Source organism: Homo sapiens, chromosome 19 (assembly GCF_000001405.40).
Source record: "Homo sapiens chromosome 19, GRCh38.p14 Primary Assembly".
NCBI classification, from domain to species: domain Eukaryota; kingdom Metazoa; phylum Chordata; class Mammalia; order Primates; family Hominidae; genus Homo; species Homo sapiens.
Window position 1 is genome coordinate 40,284,823 of NC_000019.10, and position 26,445 is coordinate 40,311,267.

Consider the following 26,445-nt stretch of genomic DNA (forward strand, 5'->3'; position numbering starts at 1 on the left):
ACTTGATGCGGCGCGCCCCCTCGATAGCTTAGCCCGCGCACGCCAGGCTCGATCTGCCCGCCGCGCCCGAAAGGTCCAGCCCCCGGCCCGCGCACGCTGCGGCCTGCGCTCCCCGTCCCGCAAACTTGCAGCGCTCCCCCCACCGCCTCAGTGGTATGGCCCGCCGCCACCGCCCCGGCCCCCCGAGGCTGGTCCCACCGCCCCCGCTCGGCCACCCCCACTCAGCTCCTGAAGGAGGGGCTCGAGGGCCGCGGTCCCCCCGCCGGGCACGGGTGGTACAGCCCATCGCGGCACCGCGGGGGGCCCGGACGCGACCATCGTGGGGGGGGCGTTCGGGGACACGCGCTGGCGCACTCACCTGTCACCGGCAGCCGCCCAGCCTCTCCGGCGGGGCTCTACCCCCGCCCATCGCCACGCTGCGCTGGTTCCCTTTCCTTGTGTTTCCCGGCAGCGGCAACGGCGCCGGCAGCGGCAGCGGCGGCGGCGACGCCTCCTCCGAGGCAGGCCCAACGGCTAGCACGGCGCGGCCCCCCCCGCCCCCTCCCCCCAGCCCCCGCTTACCGCCCCCTCCCACCCTCTGGACGGAAATACCGCCCTCTCGCGCCACAAACAGGAAGTGACGTACAAAGAGCCAGAGACGAACTCTGAGAGAGCGAGAGCGCAAGAGCAGGGCAGAGAAGGAGGCGGGCTCACAGCAGGGCGCCTGCGCACATTAGACAACTTTGGGCCTGTGTGGGTTAGAGATGGGCCTCGCTAGGCCGTGGGGCGGAAAGGCGAGATGGGGCTACGCAGGCGCACTAGGACTCCGACGTCTGCTTTCCCTAGGGCCTAGCCGTAGTGATTATTTCCCGGCAGCCCCTAGTCCGTATTTACATACGCTTTGATCTTGTTTTACTCAGTTCTGGGTTCTGACGCTCTTAAAGGACCCCGGAGCGGGAGTTAGTTAGGAGGGGTTTCCTTTTCAGTGTGCTCGTCATGGTTGAGCTCAGGCTCTGAAGCCACACAACCCCAGACTTGAATTTCCTCCTTTCTGGTGACTGTGGGCAGAAGGCTTGACCGTTTTCTGTGCCTCAGTATCCACATCTGCTAAATGGAAACAATCATCGCTGTGTCGCTGGCTTTTGAACCATTTTAATGTAAACAAAACGGTTTTTACCAATTAGTTCATTACTGCAAGATATTAATGCCACCTGCTCTCATCGTACATATTCCAGTGAATCTGGGATATAACATTTTATAATGCAACTTGGGCCCATAAAGGCCTTAAAATCACCCTGCGGCCGGGCGCGGTGGCTCACTCCTGTAATCCTAGCACTTGGGGAGGCCAAGGCAGACGGATCATGAGGTCAGGAGTTCGAGACAGCCTGGCCAACATAGTGAAACCCCGTCTCTACTCAAAATACAAAAAAAAAAAAAAAAGCCGGGCATGTCGGTGTGTGCCTGTAATCCCAACTACTTGGGAGGCTTGAGGCAGGAGAATCGCGTGAACCCGGGAGGCAGAGGTTTCAGTGAGCCGAGATCATGCCATTGCACTCCGGCCCGGGCGACAGTGCAAGTCTCCGTCTCAAAAAAAAAAAAAAAAAAGAAAAGAAAGAAAAAAGAAAAAAAATGACCCTGCAAGAAAAGAGCTTTGCACAGATCCTAATCCGTATATTAGCTAGTATACTGGACAGCTGTGAGACATCTGGCTCCCAGCCCCTCCTCTCTCATAGGGGATTGTGCTGCCTCCTGAATTTGGGTTCCAGTATGCCATATAACTTGGCAATTGTATGCATTGGTAAGTGAGAAAAATGCCTGACTGAGAGTTGAATCCTGGGTCCACCTCAGTCTGTGAGAGTGTTTCAGGCAAATCCTGCTGAGGGTTCGGCTTTCGTTTTCTGAGACGTAAACCTAATGCTGGAACTAGCCCTTTCTTATTTGGTTTCTAGCTTGGAACTTGCTGCTTGGTATTCCTAATTCCCGGTCTTCCCCATCAGTCGGTGTTAATAACTCTGACCAATGCCTCCCCCTTCACAGCCCTAACCATTTTCATCTATTACTGTCTGGTGACAGGTCTGTTTCCCCCACTGCACAGGAAACACAGTAAAGGAAGAGACCAAGACTGTCTCAGAGATCAGTGTGTATCCAACATTGCCCAGAGTGGGCTCTTGCAGAATGTTTGTTTCAAGCATTAGCCCTTCTGCCCTAATCTAGACTCAAGGTTACTGTGACCAACCCTCTTCACTCCTGTCCACACTGAACAGCTCACAGGCCATTCCCCTACGTCTAAGTCTCCCCTGGGCCAACTTGAATCCTAGCCCCTCCTAGGGCACTTAATTATGACACACTGAGATCTCACTGAAACCACCCATGTGCTTGTGTATAAACTCCTTGCAGCACTGGTAGTCAAGGGCAGTGGCTTTCTCTTTTTTTTTTTTTTTTTTTTTGAGACTCACTGCATCGCCAGGCTGGAGTGCAGTGGCGAGATCTTGGCTCACTGCAACCTCTGCCCTCTGCCTCCCAGGTTCAAGCGATTCTCCTGCCTCGGCCTCCTGAGTAGCTGGGATTACAGGCACGCGCCAACACGCCCAGCTAATTTTTTTGTATTTTTAGTAGAGAGGGGGTTTCACCATGTTGGCCAGGATAGTCTCCATCTCTTGACCTCGTGATCCACCTGCCTTGGCCTCCCAAAGTGCCGGGATAACAGGTGTGAGCCACTGCACCCGGCTCTTTCTGGTTTTGGTTTTTTATTGTTTTTTTGAGACAGGGTTTCACCCCCTCCGTCACCGAGGTTGAAATGCAGTGGCACAATCTCAGTTCACTGCAACCGACACCTCCCATGCTCAAGCGATCCTCCCACTTCGGCCTCCCAAGTACTGGGACCACAGATGTGCGCCACTATGCCCAGCTAATTTTTTTGTATTTTTGGTAGAGACGGAGTTTCGCCATGTTGCCCAGACTGGTCTCAGACTCCTGAGCTGAGGCGATCCACCCACCTTAGCCTCCCAAAGAACTGGGATTAGAGATGTGAGCCACCGCACTTGGCCTAATATTCTTTTTTTTTTTTTTTTTTTTTGACACAGTCTCACTCTGTCTCCCAGGCTGGAGTGCAGTGGTGCCATCCGCCATCTCGGCTCACTGAAACCTCCGCCTCCTAGGTTCAAGTGATTCTCCTGCCTCAGCCTCCTGAGTAGAGGGATTACAGGCGTGCACCACCACACCTGGCTAATTTTTGTATTTTTATTTATTTATTTATTTTTGAGTCTGAGTTTTGTTCTTGTTGCCCAGGCTGGAGTACAATAGCACGATCTCGGCTCACCACAACCTCCGCCTCCTGGGTTCAAGCGATTCTCCTGCCTCAGCCTCCCAAGTAGCTGGTATTACAGGCATGCACCACCACGCCTGGCTAATTTTGTATTTTTAGTAGAGATGGTGTTTCTCCATGTTGGTCAGGCTGGTCTCGAACTCCTGACCTCAGGTGATCTGCCCACCTTGGCCTCTCAAAGTGCTGGGATTACAGACATGAGCCACCACGCCCAGCCCTTAATATACTATTTATTTCAATTCCGCAACCCTGCTGAACTGATTTTCTGGTTGTGCCTTGTAGTTTGTAAAACATTAGTCTAGGAGGTAAACAACACTTTTTAGCATTGATGATGAGTAGGCCCAGGTTCTAATCGTATCTTTTCTGTGTCCTTGTCAAAGTCACTTCACTTCTCTGAGCTTGCCTTTCTTTATTCTATTAAGACAGTAATAATATAATTTATTTAGCAATTGTTACAGGCCAAGTTCTGTGTAAACACACTCCCACTGATGCTATCCTGTTGCTATCTACACAGTAACCCTGGAGGTTAAATGTAACAGCACATTAAGGGCCTTGCTTGAGTTCCCAGGACAAGTTAAGGACAAAGACAGTATTTGAACCCAGACAGTTTGATACCAGAGCCTGTGCTCTTAACTCAACTCATGCTAGAAAATGGAAAAGTATTGGCCCTACTTTTGTGCCCTATGTTACTTCTGCAAATGGCTTAGTTATCTTTGGGGGGCCTCAAAGGCCATCCTGGGCAACATAGCGAGACTCTTTCTCTATTTTCAGCATCAAGGGTGAAACTTGAGGGCCACTTTGAATCTTGTGGCAGGGCAACACAGCGAGACCCTTTCCATTTCAGCATCAAGGGTGATCGATCGAGGCGACTGGGCATGGTGGCTCACACCTGTAATCCCAGCACTTTGGGAGGCAGAGGCAGGTGGATCACCTGAGGTCAGGAGTTCGAGAACAGCCTGGCCAACATGGTGAGACCCCATTTCTACTAAAAATACAAAAATTTAGCCGGGCGTGGTGGCAGGCGCCTATAATCCCAGCCACTTGGGAGACTGAGGCAGGAGAATTCCTTGAACCCGGGAGGTGGAGGTTGCAGTGAGCGGAGGTGGCACCATTGCACTCCAGCCTTGTCAACAAGAGCAAAACTCTATCTCAAAAAAAAAAAAAAAAGAAAGAAAAAAAGTGTGAACCAGAAGAAAATTCCCTACAACCTCACCCCATTTTCTTCCATCTTAATCTAGTCTATAAACTCTCTCCCCATAACTATAAGTATGGACTGCACATGCACTTTGCTGGGTAGAGGGGGCCGGTAACTTATTGAAAGCTGTTCAAAGGTCTCTTGATTCAGAAAAAAGAAAACGATGAGGGATCTTGCCCCAAGGGTTGGAGAGGACATCTCCTCAAAGCCCCCTTCTGTGCCCAGGGAGTAGAAATCAGGCCCAGGAGTCCATTCCAAGGCTTCTCACAGAGGAGTCTCCTTATCGATGGCAACTGGACAAGCTGTGGGGACTAGTCACAAAATAATTTTTTTTTTTGAGATGGAGTCTCTCTCAGTCACCAGGCTGGAGTGCAGTGGTGCGATCTCGGCTCACTGCAACCTCCACCTCCTGGGTTCAAGTGATTCTTCTGCCTCAGCCTCCCGAGTAGCTGGGATTACTGGCACCCACAACCATGCCCGGCTGATTTTTGTATTTTTAGTAGAGACAAGGTTTCACCATGTTAGCCAGGATGGTCTCAATCTCCTGACCTCGTGATCCGCCCACCTCAGCCTCCCAAAGTGCTGGGATTATAGGCGTGAGCCACCGTACCCGGCCCCATTTTTATTTTTTATTTAAAATATTAGGCTGGACACAGTGTCTCACACCTGTAATCCCAGCACTTTGGGAGGCCGAGGCAGGAGGATCACTTGAGGCCAGGAGTTAGAGACCAGCCTGGCCAACATGGCGAAACCCCGTCTCTACTAAAAATACAAAAATTAGCCCGGGAGGTGGCAGGCACCTGTAATCCCAGCTACTGGGAGGCGGAGGCATGAGAATCACTTGAACCCAGGAGGCAGAGGTTGCAGTGAGCCGAGACTGTGCCACTGCACTCCAGCCTGGGTGACAGAGCGAGACTCTAGCTCAAAAAATAAATAAATAAATAAATAAATAAATAAATAAAATATTTAAAAGAGTTTCCCACATTATAAAGAAATGCCAAAATCATGTATTTGATTCCCGAGCCAGAATCTACAAAGCCCACTCCCCACTGCCTCCCCCAGATACTACCGTGTTGGGAAGATCCTTTCAGAGTAATGTTATTAATATATTTGGCAGAAGTACATATAAGCATCAGGGATTCCGCAAATGTTGGTTCCAATTTCCTTTTTTAAAATTTGTTTCTTTTTCAAAAATTGTAATGGAAGACACAGTGCACATTCAATTTTCTAATATATCGGAGATTCTCGAAACGTTTAAGTCCAGGTGCAGCATCTCAAGCCTGTAATCCCAGCACTTTGGGAGGCCAAGACAAGGAGATCACTCAAACTTAAAACTTCAAGACCAGCCTGGATAACATGACAAAACCCCTTCTCTACCAAAAAATACAAAAAAAAAAAAAAAATTAGTCGGGTGCAGTCGCACACACCCATGGTCCCAACTACTCAAACAAAACAACAAATATTTAAGTGGTCATGCTAGGCTAGTATACTTTGTGTAGACCTTGGGATGAAGCTTTCTCTGCTCTTTTTTCTTTCTTTCTTTTCTTTTTCTTTTACTTTTTTTTTTTTTTTTTTTGAGATGGAGTCTCACTCCCGTCGCGCAGGCTGGACTGCGGTGGTGCGATCTCAGCTCACTGCAACCTCCACCTCCAGGGTTCAAGTGATTCTCCTTCCTCAGCCTCCCAAGTGGCTGGGATTGCAGGCGCCCACCACCACCCCAAGCTAATTTTTGTATTTTTAGTAGAGGTGGGGTTTTGCCATGTTGTCCAGGCTGGTTTTGAACTCCTGGTCTCAGGTGATCCACCCGCTTCGGCCTCCCAAAGTACTAGGATTACAGACATGAGCCACCAAGCCCAGCCTCTTTTTTATTTATTATTTTACTACTATTTTGAGACAGAGTCTCACTCTGTCTTCCAGGCTGGAATGCAGTGGTGTGAACACACTCACTGCAGCCTTGACCTCCTGGGCTCAAGCAATCCTCCCACCTCAGACTCCAGAGTAGTTGGGACCACAAGCGCACACCACTACGCCCAGCTAATTTTTTTTTTTTTTTTTTTGAGATGGAGTTTCGCTTTTGTTGCCCAGGCTGGAGTGCAATGGTGTGATCTCGGCTCACTGCATCCTCCACCTCCACCACCTGAGTTCAAGCGATTCTCTTGCCTCAGCCTCCCGAGTAGCTGGGATTACAGGCATGTGCCACCATGCCCGGCTAATTTTGTATTTTTAGTGGAGATGGGGTTTCTCCATGTTGGTCAGGCTGGTCTTGAACTCCTGAACTCAGGTGATCCACCCGCCTCGGCTTCCCAAAGTCCTGGGATTACAGGCGTGGGCCACTGCACCCGGCCTGCCCAGCTAATTTTTAAATTTTTTAGAGATGGGGGGGGTCTCACCATGTTGCCCAGGCTGGTCTTGAACTCCTGGCCTCAAGCAGTCCTCCTGCCTCAGCCTCCCAAAGTGCTGGAATTACAGGCATGAGCCACCACACCCAGACTTTTCTCCTCTCAATAAGATCAAACACCTTTATCAATCTGCTTCCAACACATAGATGGCTTCCAATCCCATGTGGAATATAAACCAAAGGCCTCACCGTGGCCTTCATGGCTGTATATGATCTGTCCCTGCCTGTTTCTCTAACTTCATCACAAACTACTCTTGTCCCTGGCCCATGTTCCAGACACACATACCTCCTCTCTGCCCCTACAAAAAGACAAGCATTTGGGAACTTGCTGTCTCCTCTGGCTGGACTCTTCATGTCCTTGATCCTGATCTTGGCATGACTGGCTCCTTCTTTCTTTTCTTTCACAACTCTGTTCAAATCTCACCTCCGGGTGCAGTGGCTCATGCCCATAATCCCAGCACTTTGGGAGGCCGAGGCAGCTGGGTCACCTGAGGTCAGGAGTTCCAGACCAGCCCGGCCAACATGGTGAAATCCTGTCTCTACAAAAAAAAATACAAAAATTAGCTAGGCATAATGGTGGCTGCCTGTAATCCCAGCTACTTGGGAGGCTGAAGTGGGAGAATCGCTTCAACCCGGGAGGCAGAGGTTGCACTGAGCTGAAATGGTGCCACTGCATTCCAGCCTGGGCAACAGAGCAAGACTCCGTCTCAAAAAAGAAAGAAACAAACAAAAAACCCAAATCTCACCTCCTTGTGCACTCCGAGTCTAAAAGGGCCATGCTGTCACTATGTTTGTAAGCATATTTGAATCCTCTACCTAGGACTTAACACTAAAATATTTTTGTTGTTTATTTTGTGTCCTCCCCCAAGCCAGAATATACATTTGCTCATGAGGACAAGGACTACTGGGTACCGCTGTATTCCCAGCCCATGGAAGAATGCCTGTGAAAGAGTTCAGGACACACCACCCCAATATATGCCCATTTGATATGCTGATTACTTCAAACAGAGGGAACTCAGGGGAACAGTAAGTGCAGGGACTTTCTCTGACCTTCCCTTACCTGTCTGCACACGGATCCTCCAAAAGGAACTCCATTGTCATGAATCCCCTCCCCAGGAATCTTCTCAATCAGAGAAGATGAGCTCAGATCACAGGAGAGGAGACCGGAGGTTGACGTGATGCCCAGACTGTCACCTATTCTTCCGGGAAAACTTTTCTTAACTAATAGACAATCTGCATAACAACTTTTATTCACCATACACCTCCTCCCTGCACCCTCCCATAACTTATGTCACCACCACCTCCCAAAAGCCCCAAGCCCCTCTTCTTTTCTGCAGGTCAGGATGCTATATGATAAGCTTCAATCCTCTGACACTTCTTTAAATCTCATATTTTGTGGGACTCTCACGTCTAAGTATGTAATTTTTTTTTTTTTTCTCGAGATGGAGTCTCACTCTGTTGCCCAGGCTGGAGTGCAGTGGTGCGATCTCGGCTCACTGCAACCTCTGCCTCCCAGGTTCAAGCAATTCTCCTGCCTCAGCCTTCCAAGTAGCTGGGATTACAGGTGCCCACCATGCCACCACGCCTGGCCAATTTTTATATTTTTAGTAGAGATGGGGTTTCACTATTTTGCCCAGGCTAGTCTCAAACTCCTGACCTCAAGTGATCCGCCCGCCTCAGCCTCCCAAAGTGCTGGGATTACAGGCATGAGCCACCGTGCCCAGCAATTTTTTGCTACTTTTTGTTTGTTTTTGTTTTGTTTCTGAGACAGAGTCTTGCTCTGTTGCCCAGGCTGGAGTGCAATGATGCGATCTTGGCTCACTGCAACCTCCGCTTCCCGGGTTCAAGCGATTCTCCTGCCTCAGCCTCCTGAGTAGCTGGGATTACAGGCAAGTGCCACCACACCAGGCTAATTTTTCTATTTTTAGTAGAGACGGGGTTTCACCATGTTGATGAGGCTGGTCTCAAGCTCCTGACCTCATGATCTGCCTGCCTCGGCCTCCCAAAGTGCTGGGATTACAGGTGTGAGTCACCATGCTCGGCCTTTTGCTACTGTTAATCTGCCTTATATTGGTTTAATGTGTAAGCCAGCCAAAGAACTTAGAAGCATAGCAGGAGGGGCCGGGCGCAGCGGCTCATGCCTATAATCCTAGCATTTTGGGAGGCCAAGGCGGGCAGATCACGAGGTCAGGAGTTAGTAGACCAGCCTGATTAACATGGTAAAACCCCGTCTCTATTAAAAATACAAAAATTAGCAAAGCATGGTGGCACATGCCTGTAATTCCAGCTACTTAAGAGGCTGAGGCAGGAGAATCGCTTGAACCTGTGAGGCGGAGGTTGCAGTGTACTGAGATGGCGCCACTGCACTCCAGCCTGGGCGACAGAGCAATAATCCGTCTCCAAAAAAAACGGGTAGCGGGAAGCCATTTTTCACTCCCTTCGAGTTTCTGGTGCCCAACGTGGGGCATCTTTCACTTTTTACTCTAGGACTGCTTCAGCAGCAGGCTCCTGACATGCCTGACCAAACACTGGCCACAGATAAGATTTCCTACCACATTAGCCCCCCAGATCTCTGCCTGTAGAGTCCAGCGGAAGCAAGATAGGTAAGGGTCTCTTTGTCTTTTTCCCTTTTCTAAGTTTGGATTAGCAGGAGAAAATGTGTGCGAACTAGTTCTTGTATAATAACTCTGGTTTTTTTGTTTGGTTATTTTTTTTTTTGGTGGTGAGGGGAGGTATTATTGTTTTCTGATTCCTCCCCTCCCAGAGATGGTCATTATTTTCCCATGTCTGTGTCTTTTGTGTTGTGTCATACAGAAGAGAATCATAGGGCAAGAACACAGGCCTCAAAGACTGGTGAGTTCACAGTTCTCTGCAAACCAATGTCTGTTCAGACTAATTTTGCTGTGGGTCCCCAAGACAAAAACCAGATGAGGTGCTCCTTGGGTCTTGTTTTATGTCCTCAGAGCTTGGCTTTTCCATCAGTGAGAACACTCTGGCCTCTGCCAGCTGAGGGTGCAAGTGTCAGCCTGTGTCAGCCAGCCAGTCAAATAGGCTGGAAGCCCACGATGCAGTGACAAGCGGCATTCTCTTTGTCCACTCGTGCCAGCTCTCAGGAGAGTTTGGTCCCAATAACTGTCCCAGTCCGTAGGGCTTTGTTGTCTCAACCTTCAATTGGACAATGCTAGGAAAGTCCAATCCCAGTAGTGCTTGCCCGGTGTCACAGATTAGCGGGTCAGTGAGTGTCATGAGACACCATTTACACAAACACTATCCTTAATGCCTGTGGCAACAAAGGTCTTTGCTTTCTTTTTTTCTTTTTTGAGACGGAGTCTCGCCCTGTCGCCCAGGCTGGAGTGCAGTGGCTTAATCTCGCCTCACTGCAACCTCCGCCTCCTGGGTTCAAATGATTCTCCTGCCTCAGCCTCCCAAGTAGCTGGGATTACAGGTGCCTGCTACCACGCCCAGCTAATTTTTGTATTTTTAGTAGAGACAGGGTTTTACCATGTTGGCCAGGCTGGTCTTGAACTCCTCACCTCGTGATCCGCCTGCCTCAGCCTCCCAAAGTGCTGGGATGACAGGCGTGAGCCACCGTGCCCGGCCTAAACAGCTGTCTTATTGGTACCTATGGAAAGATCAAGAAGAAAAGAGGACAGAAAGGGATATAACAGCTAGTCTTAGAGACTCCTCTAACAAGATTAAAAAGCAGAAATCAGATTACTTTTTTTGTTTGTTTGAGACTGAGTCTCACTCTGTCGCCCAGGCTGGAGTGCAATAACGTGGTCTCAGCTCACTGCAACCTCCACCTCCCAGGTTCAAGCGATTCTCCCTGCCTCAGCCTCCTGAGTAGCTGACATTACAGGCGCCCACCACCATACCCGGATAATTTTTGTATTTTTAGTAGAGATGAGGTTTCACCATGTTGGTCAGGCTGGTCTCAAACTCCTGACCTCAGGTGATCCGCCCGCCTCAGCCTCCCAAAGTGCTGGGATTACATGCATGAGCCACCGTGCCTGGCCTAGATTATTTATTTACGTATTTATTTATTGAGACAGGGTCTCGCTCTGTCACCCAGGCTGGAGCGCAGCGTCGCAATCACCACTCACTGCAGCCTCTGCCTCCTGGACTCAAGTGATCCTCCCACCTCAACCTCCCGAGTAGGTGGGACTACAGGCATGTGCCACCACTCCTGGCTAATATTTTTAGTTTTGTAGAGACAGGGTCTTGCCATGTTGCCCAGGCTGCTCTTAAACTCCTGGTCTCAAGTGATCCTCCTGCCCTGGCCTCCCAAAGTGCTGGGATTACAGGCATGAACCAACATGCCTGGCCCACTCATGTAAATTAAATACAGTCACGTGTCACTTAATGATGAGAATATGTTCTGAGAAATTCCTTCATTAGGCAATTTTGTCATTGTGTGAACATCAGAAAGTGTATTTACGCAAAGCTAGATCATATAGCCTACTATATACCTAGGCTATAAGTTATAGTCTATTGCTATAAACTTGTACTGCATGTTATTGTACTGAATACTGAAGGCAATTGTAACACAATGCTGTTTGTTTGTTTGTTTTTATTTTTTTGAGACCAAGTTTTGCTCTGTCGCCCAGGCTGGAGTGAGTGGCACCATCTTGGCTCACTGCGACCTCTGCCTCCTGGATTCAAGCAATTATCCTGCCTCAGCATCCCGAGTAGCTGGGATTACAGGTGCACACCACCATGCCTGGCTAATTTTTTGTATTTTTAGTAGAGATGGGGTTTCGCCACATTGACCAGGCTGGTCTCGAACTCCTGACCTCAAGCAATCTGCCTGCCTCGGCCTCCCAAAATGCTAGGATCACAGGCATGAGCCATTGTGCCTGGCCAAGTGTTCGTATATCTAAACATAGAAAAGGTACAATAAAAGATAAAAGTGGGCCAGGCGCAGTGGCTCACACCTGTAATCCCAGCACTTCGGGAGGCTGAGACAGGTGAATCACCTGAGGTCAGGAGTTCAAGACCAGCCTGGCCAACATGGTGAAACCCCATCTCTACTAAAAATACAAAAATTAGCTGGGCGTGGTGGCGGGCATCTGTAATCCCAGCTACTTGGGAGGCTAAGGCAAGAGAATTGCTTGAACCCAGGAGGCAGAGGTTGCAGTGAGCTGAGATCGCACCATTGTACTCCAGCCTGGGCAACAGAGCAAGACCCTGTCTCAAAAAAAAAAAGATAAAAGTGGTGCACTTGTAGAGGGCATCTCCATTATAACCTTATGAGACCACCATTATCTATGTGGTGCATTGCTCATTAAACATCATTATGCAGGAGATGACTGTATGCCTAAAACTGCTAGAAATATAGGAAGTAATCCAAATGCTTTTCAAGTTCACATGACTTGGGTACATCTTTGGTAAATAAAACTAGTTTAATATTGTTGGTTTAATGAAAATCAGCTCTGTCTTCTGACTTACAAAAAAAATTAAAACAAAAACAAAACCCAAAAACCTTATACATGGATTTCACTTATGGTCCTTGCTTAGATGATGGCTGCCTGACATGCATTTGATGTAAAAATGGTGAATAGTGGGGACAGGCACAGTGGCTCATGCCTGTAATCCCAGCACTTTGGGAGGCCAAGGTGGGCAGATTAGTTGAAGTCAGGAGTACAGGACCAGCCTGGCCAACATAGTGAAACCCAGTCTCTACTAAAAATACAAAAAAGTTAGCCGGGCGTGGTGGCTCACGCCTGTAATCCCAACACCTTGGGAGGCCGAGGTGAGTGGATCACAAGGTCAGGAGTTCAAGATCAGCCTGGCCAAGATGGTGAAAACCTGTCTTTACTAAAAATACAAAAATTAGCTGGGCATGGTGGCGGGCATCTGTAATCCCAGCTACTCTGGAGGCTGAGGCAGAGAATTGCTTGAACCCAGGAAGCGGAGGTTGTAGTGAGGCGAGATTGCACCACTGCACTCCAGCCTGGGCAACAGAGCGAGACTCCGTCTCGGAAAAAAAAAAAAAAAAAAAAAAATTAGCTGGGCGTGGTGGCGGGCACCTGTACTCCCAGCTACTCAGAAGGCTGAGGCAGGAGAATCGCTTGAACCTGAGAGGCGGAGGTTGCAGTGAGCTGAGATCGTGCCACTGCATTCCAGGCCGAGCGACAGAGGTGACTCCGTCTCAAAAAAAAAAAAAAAATAGCCGGGTTTGGTGGTGCACACCTGTAATCCCAGCTACTCGGGAGGCTGAGGCAGGAGAAAGAATGGCTTGAACCCAGAGGCAGAGGCTGCAGTGAGCCGAGATAGAGTCACTACACTCCAGCTTGGGTGACAGAGTGACACTCTGTCTCAAAAAAAAAAAAAAGAATGGTGACTAGGGAAATGACTTGGGAGAGCTGACTTTGTCTAATGTCTCATGAAACTTCCATGACTAATCTAAGCATAATTGTTAAGAACATGTGAAATAAATAAATGTAAGTAGGATCAAAGTTGATAAATGAACTTTTCAACAACAATCGTGCTTTATGCTTTAACCCAGGAGGCGGAGGTTGCAGTGAGCTGAGATCATGCCATTGCTCTCCAGCCTGGGCTATAAGAGTGAAACATTGTCTCAAAAAAAAAAAAAAAAAAGAAAAAATAATTGTGGTTTATAAATAGCTCTTTAAAACGGTTTCCCAACCTCACTGATAACAACACCCTTGGATGGCAGATATTAATTAAATATCCAGGTCATTTCCAAATAAAACAAAATACTAAAGCATTCATTGCTGAACACAGACACAAGTTTATTTACCTTTGGCTTCTTAAAATTTATAGAAAGAAATAATATATTTGGGTCCATAGGTAAACATGTCCTGTTTCATACTGAAAAACTATTCTGCGAGAAAACACGTTTCTAGAAATTATGTGTCTTCACAAAATGTTAGCTCATGACAGTTCAAAATCGCTTACTTCCTAGGTTTCGCTGTAGAGTTGCTAAGACTTAAAATTCTCATATATAATTATATAACTACTATAAGTGACTCTGTATGCAAAGTGTACAAGGAAAGTAAGATGTTAGTGAGGTATGAAGATGTGGGGGGGTTTTGTTGAGGAAAAATAACTTAGTCTAGTTTATAAGTTGTTGCAGAATAAAGGAAGGAAGAAAAGATACAGGTAAAACTGAATGCATATAAAAGTTGGAAAGAGAGAATCTTTTGTGGTCAAACTGACCAAAATTGAGTGAATTTATTATGTCTTAAAAATGAGAGTGAATTTATTATGTCTTAAAAATGAGCCCTAATATCAAGGGTACATTGATGCAAAACTAGAATTTGGCATTATCTTTTAAAATGCAAGATTTTCTTGTAGTATTGATAAAAAAGAGTGAAAGATTTTCTTTTTCACCTTTTAAGTAATCTGCCTTAAAAAATTATGTCTTATCAAAATAATTTTCTCTTTCATGTTATCTTTTATCAGGCCTTCAATTACTTTCCAAGAAAATAAAATCCTATTAAGAGAGCTAATATATATATTTTTACAACTATATAACTTTATTTGCCTTCAAAGCCTTTTAATAATTACCCTGGTGATTATGAAATGAATATTAATAAATATTAAATGCTCATTAAATACTTAAATCATAAAATATTAAATGATTATAAAATGAACAGTTGATTAAATAGGATCCCAGATCACTATATAATTCAATAATCACTCTGGTAACCAGACTAATTATTAGTGACCTAAATTAATAGTTACCTGAGATCCTATTAATCAAATTTTTCCTTTTTTCTTTTCTTAATTTCAAAAAATATGGAAGGCCTCATGAATTTGTGAGTTATCCTTGCACAGGGGCCATGCTAATCTTCTCTGCATCATTCCAACTTTAGTATATGTGCTGCCAAAGCAAGCACTCATCAAGTGTTTTAAATCTTTTTTTACATTTTTGACAAACTTCCTAAAATCAAATTCTAAATTCAGTCTTTTGACCTTGAATTAACTTTGGAATTTGCCAGTTGAGCCCCTGGGAAAGCTCAAAAGATGTGTTTCTCACCTCGAAAAAGAGAGACATTAGCCAGGCACGGTGGCTCACGTCTGTAATCCCAGTACTTTGGGAGGCCGAGGCAGGTGGATCACCTGAAGTCAGGAGTTTAAGACCAGCCTGGCCGACATGGCGAAACCCTGTCTCTACTAAAAATACAAAAAAAATTAGTCAGGCGTGGTGACGGGCACCTATAATCCCAGCTACTCGGGAGGCTGAGGCAGGAGAATCGCTTGAACCCAGGGGGCGGAGGTTGCAGAGAGCCGAGATCGCACCATTGCACTCCAGCCTGGGTAACAGAGCGAAACTCCATCTGAAAAAAGAGAGATATTAGACTAATTAGGCTTATTTGAAATGTTAAATTAAATGGGAAACATTGTCAAATAATAAATGATGCTAAACGTTTATATTTATGAACCCAGGGTAGGAGGTGATGAGGGTGATAAAAAACATTTTTTTAAATAAGTTATATGGCCGGGTGCAATGGCTCGTGCTTGTAATCCCAGCACTTTGGGAGGCCAGGGCAGGTGGATCACGAGGTCAGGAGTTCAAGACCAGCCTAGCCAACACAATGAAACCCCGTCTCTACTAAAAATACAAAAATTAGCTGGGTGTGGTGGCAGGCACCTGTAATCCCAGCTACTTGGGAGGGTGAGGCAGGAGAATTGCTTGAACCCAGGAGGCGGAGGTTGCAGTGAGCCAAGATCGCACCACTGCATTCCAGCCTGGGCGACACAGCTAGACACCATCTCAAAAAAAAAAAAGTTATATTTCTGGATATGTTACTGATATGAATGTTCTAAAAATTATGAGATTCCTAGAAATCTAATGTTATAAGTCATAATTTTGTTACTATGTTAACATGATATATGCCACAGAAATAACCAGGTTTCCTTGTCAATTGCTGGTTATAATGAACTCTCATCAGATTTTTTAACCATGGCCATTCTGTCTTGCTCATCAATAGTGTTTTGGTTCTTCTCTAAAAGCATTTGCAATCAGCTATTGCCCCAAATTGCTTCTTCAAGATTCATGGAAATGACTCTGACAAGTAGTCTGGAATAGAAGGTCCTAATAAACTTATGATTATAACATTGGACTGGGTAAGAATTTCCAAAACTCTAGTGGAAAAACTGGACTCAGAAAACTGCTGACTCGACTAGGTGTGGTGGCTCATGCCTGTAATACTAGCACTTTGAGAGGCCCAGGCAGGCGGTTCATTTAAGGCCAGAAGCTCGAGACCAGCCTGGCCAACATAGAGAATCCCGATCTCTACTAAAAATACAAACAAAACAAAAAAATTAGTTGAGTGTGGTGGTGCACACCTGTAATCCCAGCTACTCCAGAGGCTGAGGCACGAGAATCGCTTGAGCCCGGGAGGTGGAGGTTACACTGAACCGAGGCACTCCAGCCTGGGTAACAGAGCGAGACTCTGTCTCAGAAAATAAAAAGAAAAAGAAACCCTGCTAACAACATCAGGAAGAATAAGAATTACATGGGACTGAGCTGACAGATTATAATTTTTTTTTAATACCTACAGTATTATAGTGCCATAGGCATAGTTTGATGGCAAGTCCCTGGCTTCATAACCTTGAGAGGCTTTTATTTATTTATTTATTTATTTATTTATTTATTTATTTATTCTTGAGACAGAGTCTCGCTCTGTCGCCCAGGCTGGAGTGCAGTGGCATGATCTTGGCTCACTGCAACCTCCGCCTCCCAGGTTCAAGAGATTCTTCCTGCCTCAGCCTCCCGAGTAGCTGGGATTACAGGAACCCACCACCATGCCCAGCTAATTTTTGTATTTTTGGTAGAGACGAGGTTTCGCCATGTTGGTCAGGCTGGTCTCAAACTCCTGACCTCGTGATCCACCTGCCTCAGCCTCCCAAAGTGCTGGGATTGCAGGTGCGAGCCACCGCGCCTGGCCTGAGAAGCTTTGCCTGGCCAACATAGAGAAACCCATCTCTACTGAAAATACAAAAATTTGCTGGGCATGGTGGCCCACGCCTGCAGTCCCAGCTACTTGGGAGGCTGAGGCAGGAGAATCACTCCAACCTGGGAGGTGGAGGTTGCAGTGAGCCAAGATCACTCCACTGCACTCCAGCCTGGGTGACAGAGCAAGACTCTGTCTAGGAAAAAAATCTTAAAAAAAAAGGTCCAATCTGGGCCAGGCACAGTGGCTCATGCCTGTAATCCGAGCACTTTGGAAGGCCGAGGCAGGTGGATCACTTGAGGTCAGGAGTTGGAAAACAGCCTGGTCAACATGGAGAAACCCCATCTCTACTAAAAATACAAAACATTAGCCGGGCATGGTGGTGGGCACCTGTAATCCCAGCTACTCAGGAGGCTAAGGCAGGAGAATCGCTTGAACCCGGGAGGCAGAGGTTGCAGTGAGCCAAGAACGTGCCACTGCACTCCAGCCTAGGCGACAGAACAAGACTCCATCTCCAAAAAGCAAAAAAAAGAATCTTTACAATCAATCATTATTCTTACTGCTCTTACATAAATAATCAGGCCAAGTTTAATAAGAGACCAACCTTATTTTGCAACAAATTGATATTTTTTTCCTTGAAACAGGGTCTTGCTCTATTACCCAGGCTGGAGTACAGTGGTAGGATCACGGCTCACTGCAGCCTCCACCCCCCAGGCTCAGATGATCCTTCTGAGGTCAGCCTCCTGAGTAGTTGGGACTACAGGCATGCACGAACATGTCTAATTTTTTTGTATTTCGTGTGCCACCACGTCTGATTTTTTTGTATTTTTTATAGAGATGGGGTTTTGCCATGTTGCCCAGGCTGGTCTCCTAGACTAAAGCAATCTGCTTCTGCCTCGACTCCCAAAGTGCTGGGATTACAGGCATGAGCCACCACTCCTGGCAACAAATTGATCTCATTGTGATTGTGTCTGGCAGAAATGGGGGTGACTGTACAAAGAAAAATCATGTTTCAGAAGAAAACTATAGTGTATCCATTATTAGATTCTAGTTCATTGTTGTGGAGGGTTTGTTATTTACCTGGAAACTTGAGTGGATCCTGAATTCTTCCAGTTTCCTCAAATGTCTGGCTATGACTCTCCAAACTAACATTTCCAGTCTTTCTCCCTTCTGACTTGGAGTTACTGAAAGTAAGACTTCCTTTCCTGAAGCCCTGCAAGCTAAAACTAGAAGACTTGATAGAGACTTCAGATAAATCACCACAAACACTTAGGTATACACCACCTTCATGCCTACCAATATACAAACTAATCAGAAAGTTCACTGGGATCACACCTATAATCCCAGCATTTTGGAAGGCCGGGGTGGGAAGACCACCTGAGGTCAGGAGTTCAAGGCCAGCCTGGGCAACGTGGTGAAACCCCATACAAAAATTAGCCGGGCGGGGTGGCGGGTGCCTGTAATCCCAGCTACTTGGGAGTCTGAGGCAGGAGAATCGCTTGAACCTGGGAGGCGGAGGCTGCAGTGAGCCAAGATTGTGCCATTGCACTCCAGCCTGGGCAACAAGAACAAAACTCCATCTAAAAAAAAAAAACAGGCCAGGCGCAGTAGCTCACACCTGTAATCCCAGCACTTTGGGAGGCCGAGGTGGGGGGATCACGAGGTCAGAAGATCGAGACCATCCTGGCTAACACGGTGAAACCCCATCTCTACTAAAAATACAAAAAATTAGTTGGGCATGGTGGTGGGCACCTGTAGTCCCAGCTACTTGGGAGGCTGAGGCAGGAGAATGGCGTGAACCCAGGAGGCGGAGCTTGCAGTGAGCGGAGATCATACCACTGACTCCAGCCTGGGCAACAGAGCGAGACTCTCAAAAAAAAAAAGGCCGGCACAGTGGCTCATGCCTGTAATCCCAGCACTTTGGGAGGCCGAGGCAGGTGGATCACAAGGTCATCGAGACCATCCTGGCTAACACGGTAAAACCCCGTCTCTACTAAAAATACAAAAAATTAGCCGGGCGTGGTGGCATGCGCCTGTAGTCCCAGCTACTCAGGAGGCTGAGGCAGGAGAATCGCTTGAACCTGGCAGACAGAGGTTGCAATGAGCCGAGATCGCATCACTGCACTTCAGCCTGGGCGACAGAACGAGACTTTGTCTGAAAAAAAAAAAAAAAAAAAAAAAAAAAGTTCACTGGAACCCCTAATGCAAATTGCAACCAGGAAAATCTGTGTCAAATTATCACTGCCTGCCCCTACTCCAACTGAAAATGCTTTGATCCAGCATCTAGAAATCATGTCAATTGGCTGCCCTCCAGGCTCAGAAACTAGTTTACAGATTGCTGCAAACATTAACCTTATTCTTTTGTTTCCTCTTATTAAATACCTGTTTGCTTGTGCCATACAGAGGCCTGACTGTGATGGCAGCCCACCTGCCACACCACCTCCTGGAATGAGACAGAACTGATTAATTGGACTGACCTAGTCCCAGGTCTCATACTATTCAAACACTAATCTGATTTTTCTGTCATCCACCACCAAATCAACTTTTAGCATGTGGAACTTCTAGAGAAGTTTCAGATAGGAGAAATGAAGAAGTTCGAGAAATGCCATCCCAAAATACATCCCTTTGATAGACTGATTACTTCAAATGGAGGGAACCTGGGGAACAGCAAGGGCAGGGAGGACTTTCTTTGACCTTCCCTTATCTACCTAAACACGGATCCTCCAAAAGGAACTTCAGTGTCACGAATCCCCTCCCCAGGAATCTTCTCAATCAGGAAAGATGAGCTCAGATCACAGGAGATGAGACTGGAGGTTGGCACCACGCCCAGATCTATTCTTCTGGGACAACTTTTCTTAACTAAGAGACTTATAATCTGCATAACAAGACAACTTTTATTCACCATACACTTCCTCCCTGCACCCTCCCATAATTTAGGTCACCACCACCTCCTAGAAGCCGCAAGCCCCTCTTTTTTCTGTAGCTCAGGATGCTATATAAGCTTCAATCATCTGGCCCTTCTTTGAATCTCATATATTGTGGGGCTCCTGTGCATACTTACTTAATTAAAATGAGTTTTTTTCTACTGTTAATCTGCCTTATGTCAATTTAATATGTAGCCCAGTCAAAGAACCTAGAAGGGTACAGGGAAGCCATTTTTTGCTCCCCTACACCAGGCACATAGTTGGGACTTGGGGATCAAAAAATATTTGTTTACCAAATGCAGTTTTGATTAGGAAGGTTAAAGCTCTGTACTAGGCTGATTTTTATTCCAGGTCTGAACTTGTCTGTTTACCGAGTTGGCCAGGCACGGTGGCTCATGCCTGTCATCCCAGCACTTTGGAAAGCTGAGGTGGGCGGATCACTTGAGGCCAGGAGTTTGAGACCAGCCTGCTACTAAAAATACAAAAAATTAGGCCAGGCGCGGTGGCTCATGCCTGTAATCCCAGCACTTTGGGAGGCAAAGGAGAGCGGATCACCTGAGATCAGGAGTTCGACACCAGCCTGGCCAACATAGCGAAATCCCATTTCTACCAAAAATACAAAAATTAGCCAGGCGTTGTGGTGGGCACCTGTAATCCCAGCTAATCAGGAGGCTGAGGGAGGAGAATCGCTTGAACCTGGGAGGCAGAGGTTTCAGTGAGCTAAGATCGTGCCACTGTACTCCAGCCTGGGCGACACAGTCAGACTCTGTCTCAAAAAAAAAAAAAAGGTAGATTTGAAATAGAAAAATCCTTACAACACAGCCTCCCACATTACTAAGAAAAACTGAAATAATATAAACACCACCTGATCTTTTTCAAGAAGAGAAAAATTTCACAGCTGCCCAGTGGATTTATAAACTCTATTCACTTGCCACAAGATGGCGCCACATGAGCTGGTCATCCCTGCAGAAACCCAGCTATGTCTTGCAGGCATCAAGTCTTCCTAGAGCAATTTGCGGGACCATTATATTTGAACATTCACTGTCTAAAAGGAAGCTCTTACACGACACCTAAATGCAACATGTTAAGTCACCAGGGTGTCTCGGAAAAGATAAATAAATAAATGTAACATGTGATCCTGAATTGGATTCCAAGCCAGGAGAAAAAACAGCAATAAGGAACGTTATTGGGACAATTGATGAAATTGGAACATGAATTTTGCATTAGATAAAAGTATCATGTCCATGTTAAATTTCTTGTTTTGATAGTTGTACTGTGCTTATGAAAGAGAATGTTCGGCCAGACATGGTGACCCACGCCTGGAATCCCAGCACTTTGGGAGGCTGAGGCAGGTGGATCACCTGAGGTCAGGAGTTCAAAGACCAGCCAGCCCACCATGGTGAAACCCCATCTCTACTAAAGAATACAAAAATTAGCCGGACGTGGTGGTGGGCGCCTGTAATCCCAGCTACTGGGGAAGCTGAGGCAGGAGAATCGCTTGAACCCAGATGAAGGAGGTTGCAGTGAGCCAAGATCGCACCATTGCACTCCAGCCTGGACGACAAGAGCAAAACTCTGTCTCAAAAAAAAAAAAAAAAAAAAAAAGGAAAGAGAATGTTCTTGATCTTAGGAACTACACACAAGTGTCCTGAGGTAAAGAAAGACACATGATGTTCTCCAACCTAATTCTCAAATGGCTCATAACACAATAGATATAGATGATGCATGTATCCTTATGGAGGGGAGAAGAGGGAACAGTAAGACAAATGGAACAAATTGTAAACAATTGGCAAATCTGGGTAAAGAGTATACAGAAATCCTTTGTACTCTTGTTACTTTTTTTTTTTTTCTGAGACCAAGTCTCACTCTGCTGCCCAGGCTGGAGCGCAGTGGCGAGATCTCGGCTTACTGCAACCTCCGCCTCCCGGGTTCAGGCGATTCTCCTGCCTCAGCCTCCTGAGTAGCTGGGACTACAGGCACCCACCATCACGCCCAGCTGATTTTTGTATTTTTAATAGAGACGGGATTTCACCATGTTGGTCAGGCTGGTCTTGAACTCCTGACCTCAGGTGATCTGCCAGCCTCAGCCTCCCAAAGTGCTGGGATTACAGGTGTGAGCCACTGCATCAGGCTTCTTGTTACTTTTCTAAAAGTTTACAATTATACTAAAATAAAGCATTACCAAAAAAGTTATTTTATAGCCTGTAAGAATGTCATTAAAATTTTTTTTTTTTTTTTTGAGACAGAGTCTTGCTGTTGCCCAGGCTGGAGTGCAGTGGTGCGATCTCGGCTCACTGCAGGCTCCGCCCCCCGGGGTTCACGCCATTCTCCTGCCTCAGCCTCCTGAGTAGCTGGGACTACAGGCGCCCGCCACCTAGCCCGGCTAATTTTTTGTATTTTTAGTAGAGACGGGGTTTCACCATGTTAGCCAGGATGGTCTTGATCTCCTGACCTCGTGATCCGCCCGCCTGGGCCTCCCAAAGTGTTGGGATTACAGGCGTGAGCCACCGCGCCCGGCCCTTTTTTTTTTTTTTTTTTTTTTTTTTGAGACGAAGTCCTGCTCTGTCACAGGCTACAGCGCAGTGGTGCAATCCTGGCTCACTGCAACCTCTGCCTCCCCGGTTCAAGTGATTCTTGTGCCTCAGCCTCCTGAGTAGCTGGGATTACAGGCGCATGCCACCATGCCCAGCTAACTTTTGTATTTAAGTAGACTCTGTGTTTCACCATGTTGGCCAGACTGGTCTCGAACTCTTGTTTTGAAGTGATCCACCCACCTCTGCCTCCCAAAGTGCTGGGATTACAGGCATGAGCCACCATACCCGAGCAGGTGTGTTTGTTTGTTGTTTGGAGACAGGGTCTCGTTCTGTCACCCAGACTGGAATGCAGTGGCATGAGCTCGGCTCACTGCAACCTCTGCCTCCTGGGCTCAAGGGATCCTCTTGCCTTAGCCTCCCTAGTAGCCGCCATACCTGGCTAATTTTTGTATTTTTTGTAGAGACAGGGTTTTGCCTTGTTGCCCAGGCTGGTATTGAACTCCTGAGCTCAAGCAATCCACCTGCCTCTGTCTCCCACAGTACTGGGATTACAGGAAATTTCAGAGATAAAATTAGGTATCAACACTGTATGCCAGGTACTGTTTTAAGCCTTTCACACTAATCGACTCATTTAATCCCCAAAACCATTCCATGGGATAGGTGCTATTATTACTCTCATCTTGGTTTTTTTGGTTTTGTGGCTTTTTTTTTTTGAGACAGTGTCTTGCTCTATCACCCAGGCTGGAGTGCAGTGATGCAATTTTGGCTCACTGCAACTCCACCTCCCGGGTTCAAGCAATTCTCCTGCCTCAGCCTCCCAAGTAGCTGGGATTACAGTCACCCGCCACCACGCCCGGCTAATTATTACTCTCATCTTAGTGAAGAGGAAACTGAAGAGAGGTTGAGTAACTTGTGGATCACACAGCTGTAGGATCAAGCTCTTCATAATAACACACAATCAAGAAGGTTTAAGGATGGCCAGGATATGCTCTACTGATAATTCAGGACCAAGTACTCTGTAAAATGTCTGGAGGGAGGAAAGGCAACTTTATTTATTTATTTATTTATTTAGAAACGAAGTCTCACTCTGTCGCCAGGCTGGAGTGCAGTGACACAATCTCGGCTCACAGCAACCTCTGCCTCCCAGGTTCAAGCAATTGTCCTGCCTCAGCCTCCAGAGTAGCTGGGATTACAGGCGCGTGTCACCACACCCGGCTAATTTTCTGTATTTTTAGTAGAGATGGGGTTTCACCATGTTAGCCAGGATGGTCTCGCTCTCCTGACCTGGTGATCTGCCCGCCTCAGCCTCCCAAAGCGCTGGGATTACAGGTGTGAGCCACCACGCCCAGCCAGAAAGTCAACTTTTTTTTTTTTTTTTGAGACAGAGTCTTGCTCTGTCACCCAGGCTGCAGTGCAGTGGCGCAATCTTGGCTCACTGCAACCTCCACCTCCCAGGTTCAAGCAATTCTCATGCCTCAGCCTCCCAAATAGCTGGGATTACAGGCGTATGCCACTACACCTGACAAATTTTTGTGTTTTTAGTAAAGACAAGTTTTCGCCATGTTGGCCAGGCTGGTCTCAAACTCCTCACCTCAAGTGATCCGCCCGCCTCAGCCTCCCAAAGTGTTGGGATTACAGGCGTGAGCCACCACGCCCAGAATAGAACATTTTATAAGAATACACAACAAAAGCACAGTGGCTCAAGCCTGTAATCCCAGCACTTTGGGAGGCCAAAGCAGGCAGATCGCTTGGGCCCAAGAGTTTGAGACTAGCCTGGGCAACATGGCCAGACCCTGTCTCTACAAAAAATTAAAAAATTAGCCGGGCATGTGCCTATAGTCCCAGCTACTTGGGAGGTTGAAGCAAGAGGATTACCTGAGCCCAGGAGGTCAAGGCTGCAGTAAGCTGTGATCATGCCACTGCACTCCAGCCTAGGCAGCACAGTGAGACCACGTTTCAAATAAACAAATAAATAAAAGTGGATATTGAAAATGATCAGGTTTGTTTGAAGAAAATTCTGATTTCTCCTCCAGTGATAATGGCTAGTAGGTTCAGCTACATAATCAGCAGCCACTTTATTTCTCTCTCTCTTTTTTTTTTTTTTTTGAGACACAGTCTCACTCTGTCACCCAGGCTGGTGTACAGTGGCTCGGTCTCAGCTCACTACAACCTCCAACTCCCAGGTTCAAGCGATTCTCCTGCTTCAGCCTGAGTAGCTGGGATTACAGGCATGCGCCACCACTCCTGGCTAATTTTTGTATTTTTAGTAGGGACGGGGTTTCTCCATGTTGGTCAGGCTGGTTTCGAACTTCTGACCTCAGGTGATCTGCCGGCCTCAGCCTCCCAAAGTGCTGGGATTACAGGCGGGAGCCACCGTGCCTCGCCTATTTCTCTCTTTTATTTTGGTTAAACCTTGCATAATTCAGGACTGATTTTTGCATCATTTGAGTGTCAAATTGAGGCAGGGGCTCAGAGCACTTAAACCTAAATTCATCATAGGAAAGTTGTCCCTTGAAGTTGCCTTTCCTCCCCACGAACATTTTACAGAGTACTTGCTCCTGGGTGGCAGAGCGACCTTATCTCAAAAAAAAAAAAAAGAATATGCAACAAAATATGCAGTTACTTTAAAAGGAGCTTTTTCCAATAAGGACACTAAATAAAATATGCTTAACATCATTAGCTATCAGGAAATGCAAATCAACACCACAGTAAGATGCCATTTAACACCCACTAGGACAACTATAATCAAAAAGTCAGATACTAGTAAGTGTTGGTGAGGATGTGGAGAAAATGGGACCCTCATATACTGCTGGTGGAAATGTAAGATCATACAGCTGATGGAAAACAGTCTGGCAGTTCTTCAGATGGTTAAAAATAGAATTATCATATGACCCAACAATTCTACTGCTAGGGTATATACCCAAGAGAATTGAAAACATATGTCTACACAGAATACTTGTACCTGAATATTGATAGCAGCATTATTCACAATAGCCCAAAAGTATAAACAACCCAAATGTCCATCAACTCATAGATAAACAAATGTAATACATCCATACAATGGAATATTATTTAGCCGATAAAGGAATGAAACTCTGATACATGCCTGGTGACAGAGTGAGACTCCATCTCAAAAAAAAAAAGGAATACAGGCCAGCCACGGTGGCTCACATGTATAATCCCAGTGCTTTCAGAGGCTGAGGCTGGAGGATCACTTGAGCACAGGAGTTCAAGACCAGCCTGGGCTGGAGTGCAGTGGCATGATCTCAGGTTCAAGCGATTCTCGTGCCTCAGCCTCCCAAGTACCTGGGATCACAGGCGTGTGCCACCACACCCCGCTAATTTTTGTATCTTTAGTAGAGATGGAGTTTCACCATGTTGGCCAGGGTAGTCTCGAACTCCTGACCTGAGGTGATCCGCCCACCTCCGCCTTCCAAAAGTGCTGGGATTAAACATGTGAGCCACCGCACCCAGCCGAATTGTTCACTTTAAATGAGTGAATTGTCTGATACATGAATTATATCTCAGTAGAGCTGTTTTTCTAAAAGCTCTTTATGTACTAATATAAAACAATCTCCAAGGTATATTAAGTGAAAAAAGCAAAGTGTAAAACTATTAGATATGTAACCATCTGAGTAAGAAAATATAATTATGTTTGTAAATATACAGATATTTCTGGGGGAACTCATAAAACTCCAGTAACACTGACTGCCTCTGGAGAGGGGAACTGGATGACTGACGGATCCAGAGTAGAAGCAGAATTGTTATTTTTAAAATAAGAGATGCCCAAAAATACATAAAAATTAACACAATGAATACCATGTGCCTACCGCCCAGTTTTAAAAACCATTACACCAGGCGCAGTGGCTCACACCTATAATCCCAGCACTTTGGAAGGCCGAGGTGAGCGGATTGCTTGAGTCCAGGACTTCAAGACCAACGTGGGCAACATAGCAAGCCCCCTTCTCTACAAAAAAACCTGCAAAAATTGGGCCGGGTGCAGTGGCTCACGACTGCAATCCCAGCACTTTGGGAGGCCGAGGCGGGCGGATCACCTGAGGTTGGGAGTTTGAGACCAGCCTGACCAACACGGAGAAACCCCGTCTCTACTAAAAATACAAAAAAATTAGCCAGGCATGGTGGCGCATGCCTGTAATCTCAGCT

The 26,445-nt window shown here is 46.6% G+C and overlaps 2 protein-coding genes and 1 pseudogene across 6 annotated transcripts in view, besides 2 other annotated features; all 3 read right to left on the bottom strand.

The window, feature by feature from the left end:
• Positions 1-523, bottom strand: part of AKT2 (AKT serine/threonine kinase 2) — a 55,029-nt gene extending 54,506 nt beyond the window's left edge. For all 3 annotated transcript variants that reach the window (NM_001243028.3, NM_001243027.3, NM_001626.6), the window contains exon 1: positions 359-523. The gene's annotated coding sequence lies outside the window, so the exon portion shown is untranslated. The remainder of the gene's footprint in view (positions 1-358) is intronic.
• Positions 58-557: a silencer, noted in NCBI's record as "silent region_10619". NCBI's record gives its function as "represses an Ori minimal core promoter by ATAC-STARR-seq in GM12878 lymphoblastoid cells {active_cell/tissue: GM12878}" and the evidence as "EXISTENCE:reporter gene assay evidence [ECO:0000049][PMID:35858748]".
• Positions 844-1,675: an enhancer, noted in NCBI's record as "NANOG-H3K27ac hESC enhancer chr19:40791573-40792404 (GRCh37/hg19 assembly coordinates)". NCBI's record gives its function as "activates a minimal SCP1, AML or CMV promoter by ChIP-STARR-seq in primed H9 embryonic stem cells {active_cell/tissue: H9 hESC(primed)}" and the evidence as "EXISTENCE:reporter gene assay evidence [ECO:0000049][PMID:30033119]".
• Positions 8,132-26,445, bottom strand: part of C19orf47 (chromosome 19 open reading frame 47) — a 55,574-nt gene continuing 37,260 nt past the window's right edge. For all 3 annotated transcript variants that reach the window (XM_011526460.3, XM_047438176.1, XM_024451364.2), the window contains exon 10: positions 8,132-10,519. In XM_011526460.3, the coding sequence (XP_011524762.1) occupies positions 10,497-10,519 (23 nt within the window). In that variant the 3' untranslated portion in view covers positions 8,132-10,496. The remainder of the gene's footprint in view (positions 10,520-26,445) is intronic.
• Positions 14,656-14,762, bottom strand: RNU6-945P (RNA, U6 small nuclear 945, pseudogene; annotated as a pseudogene).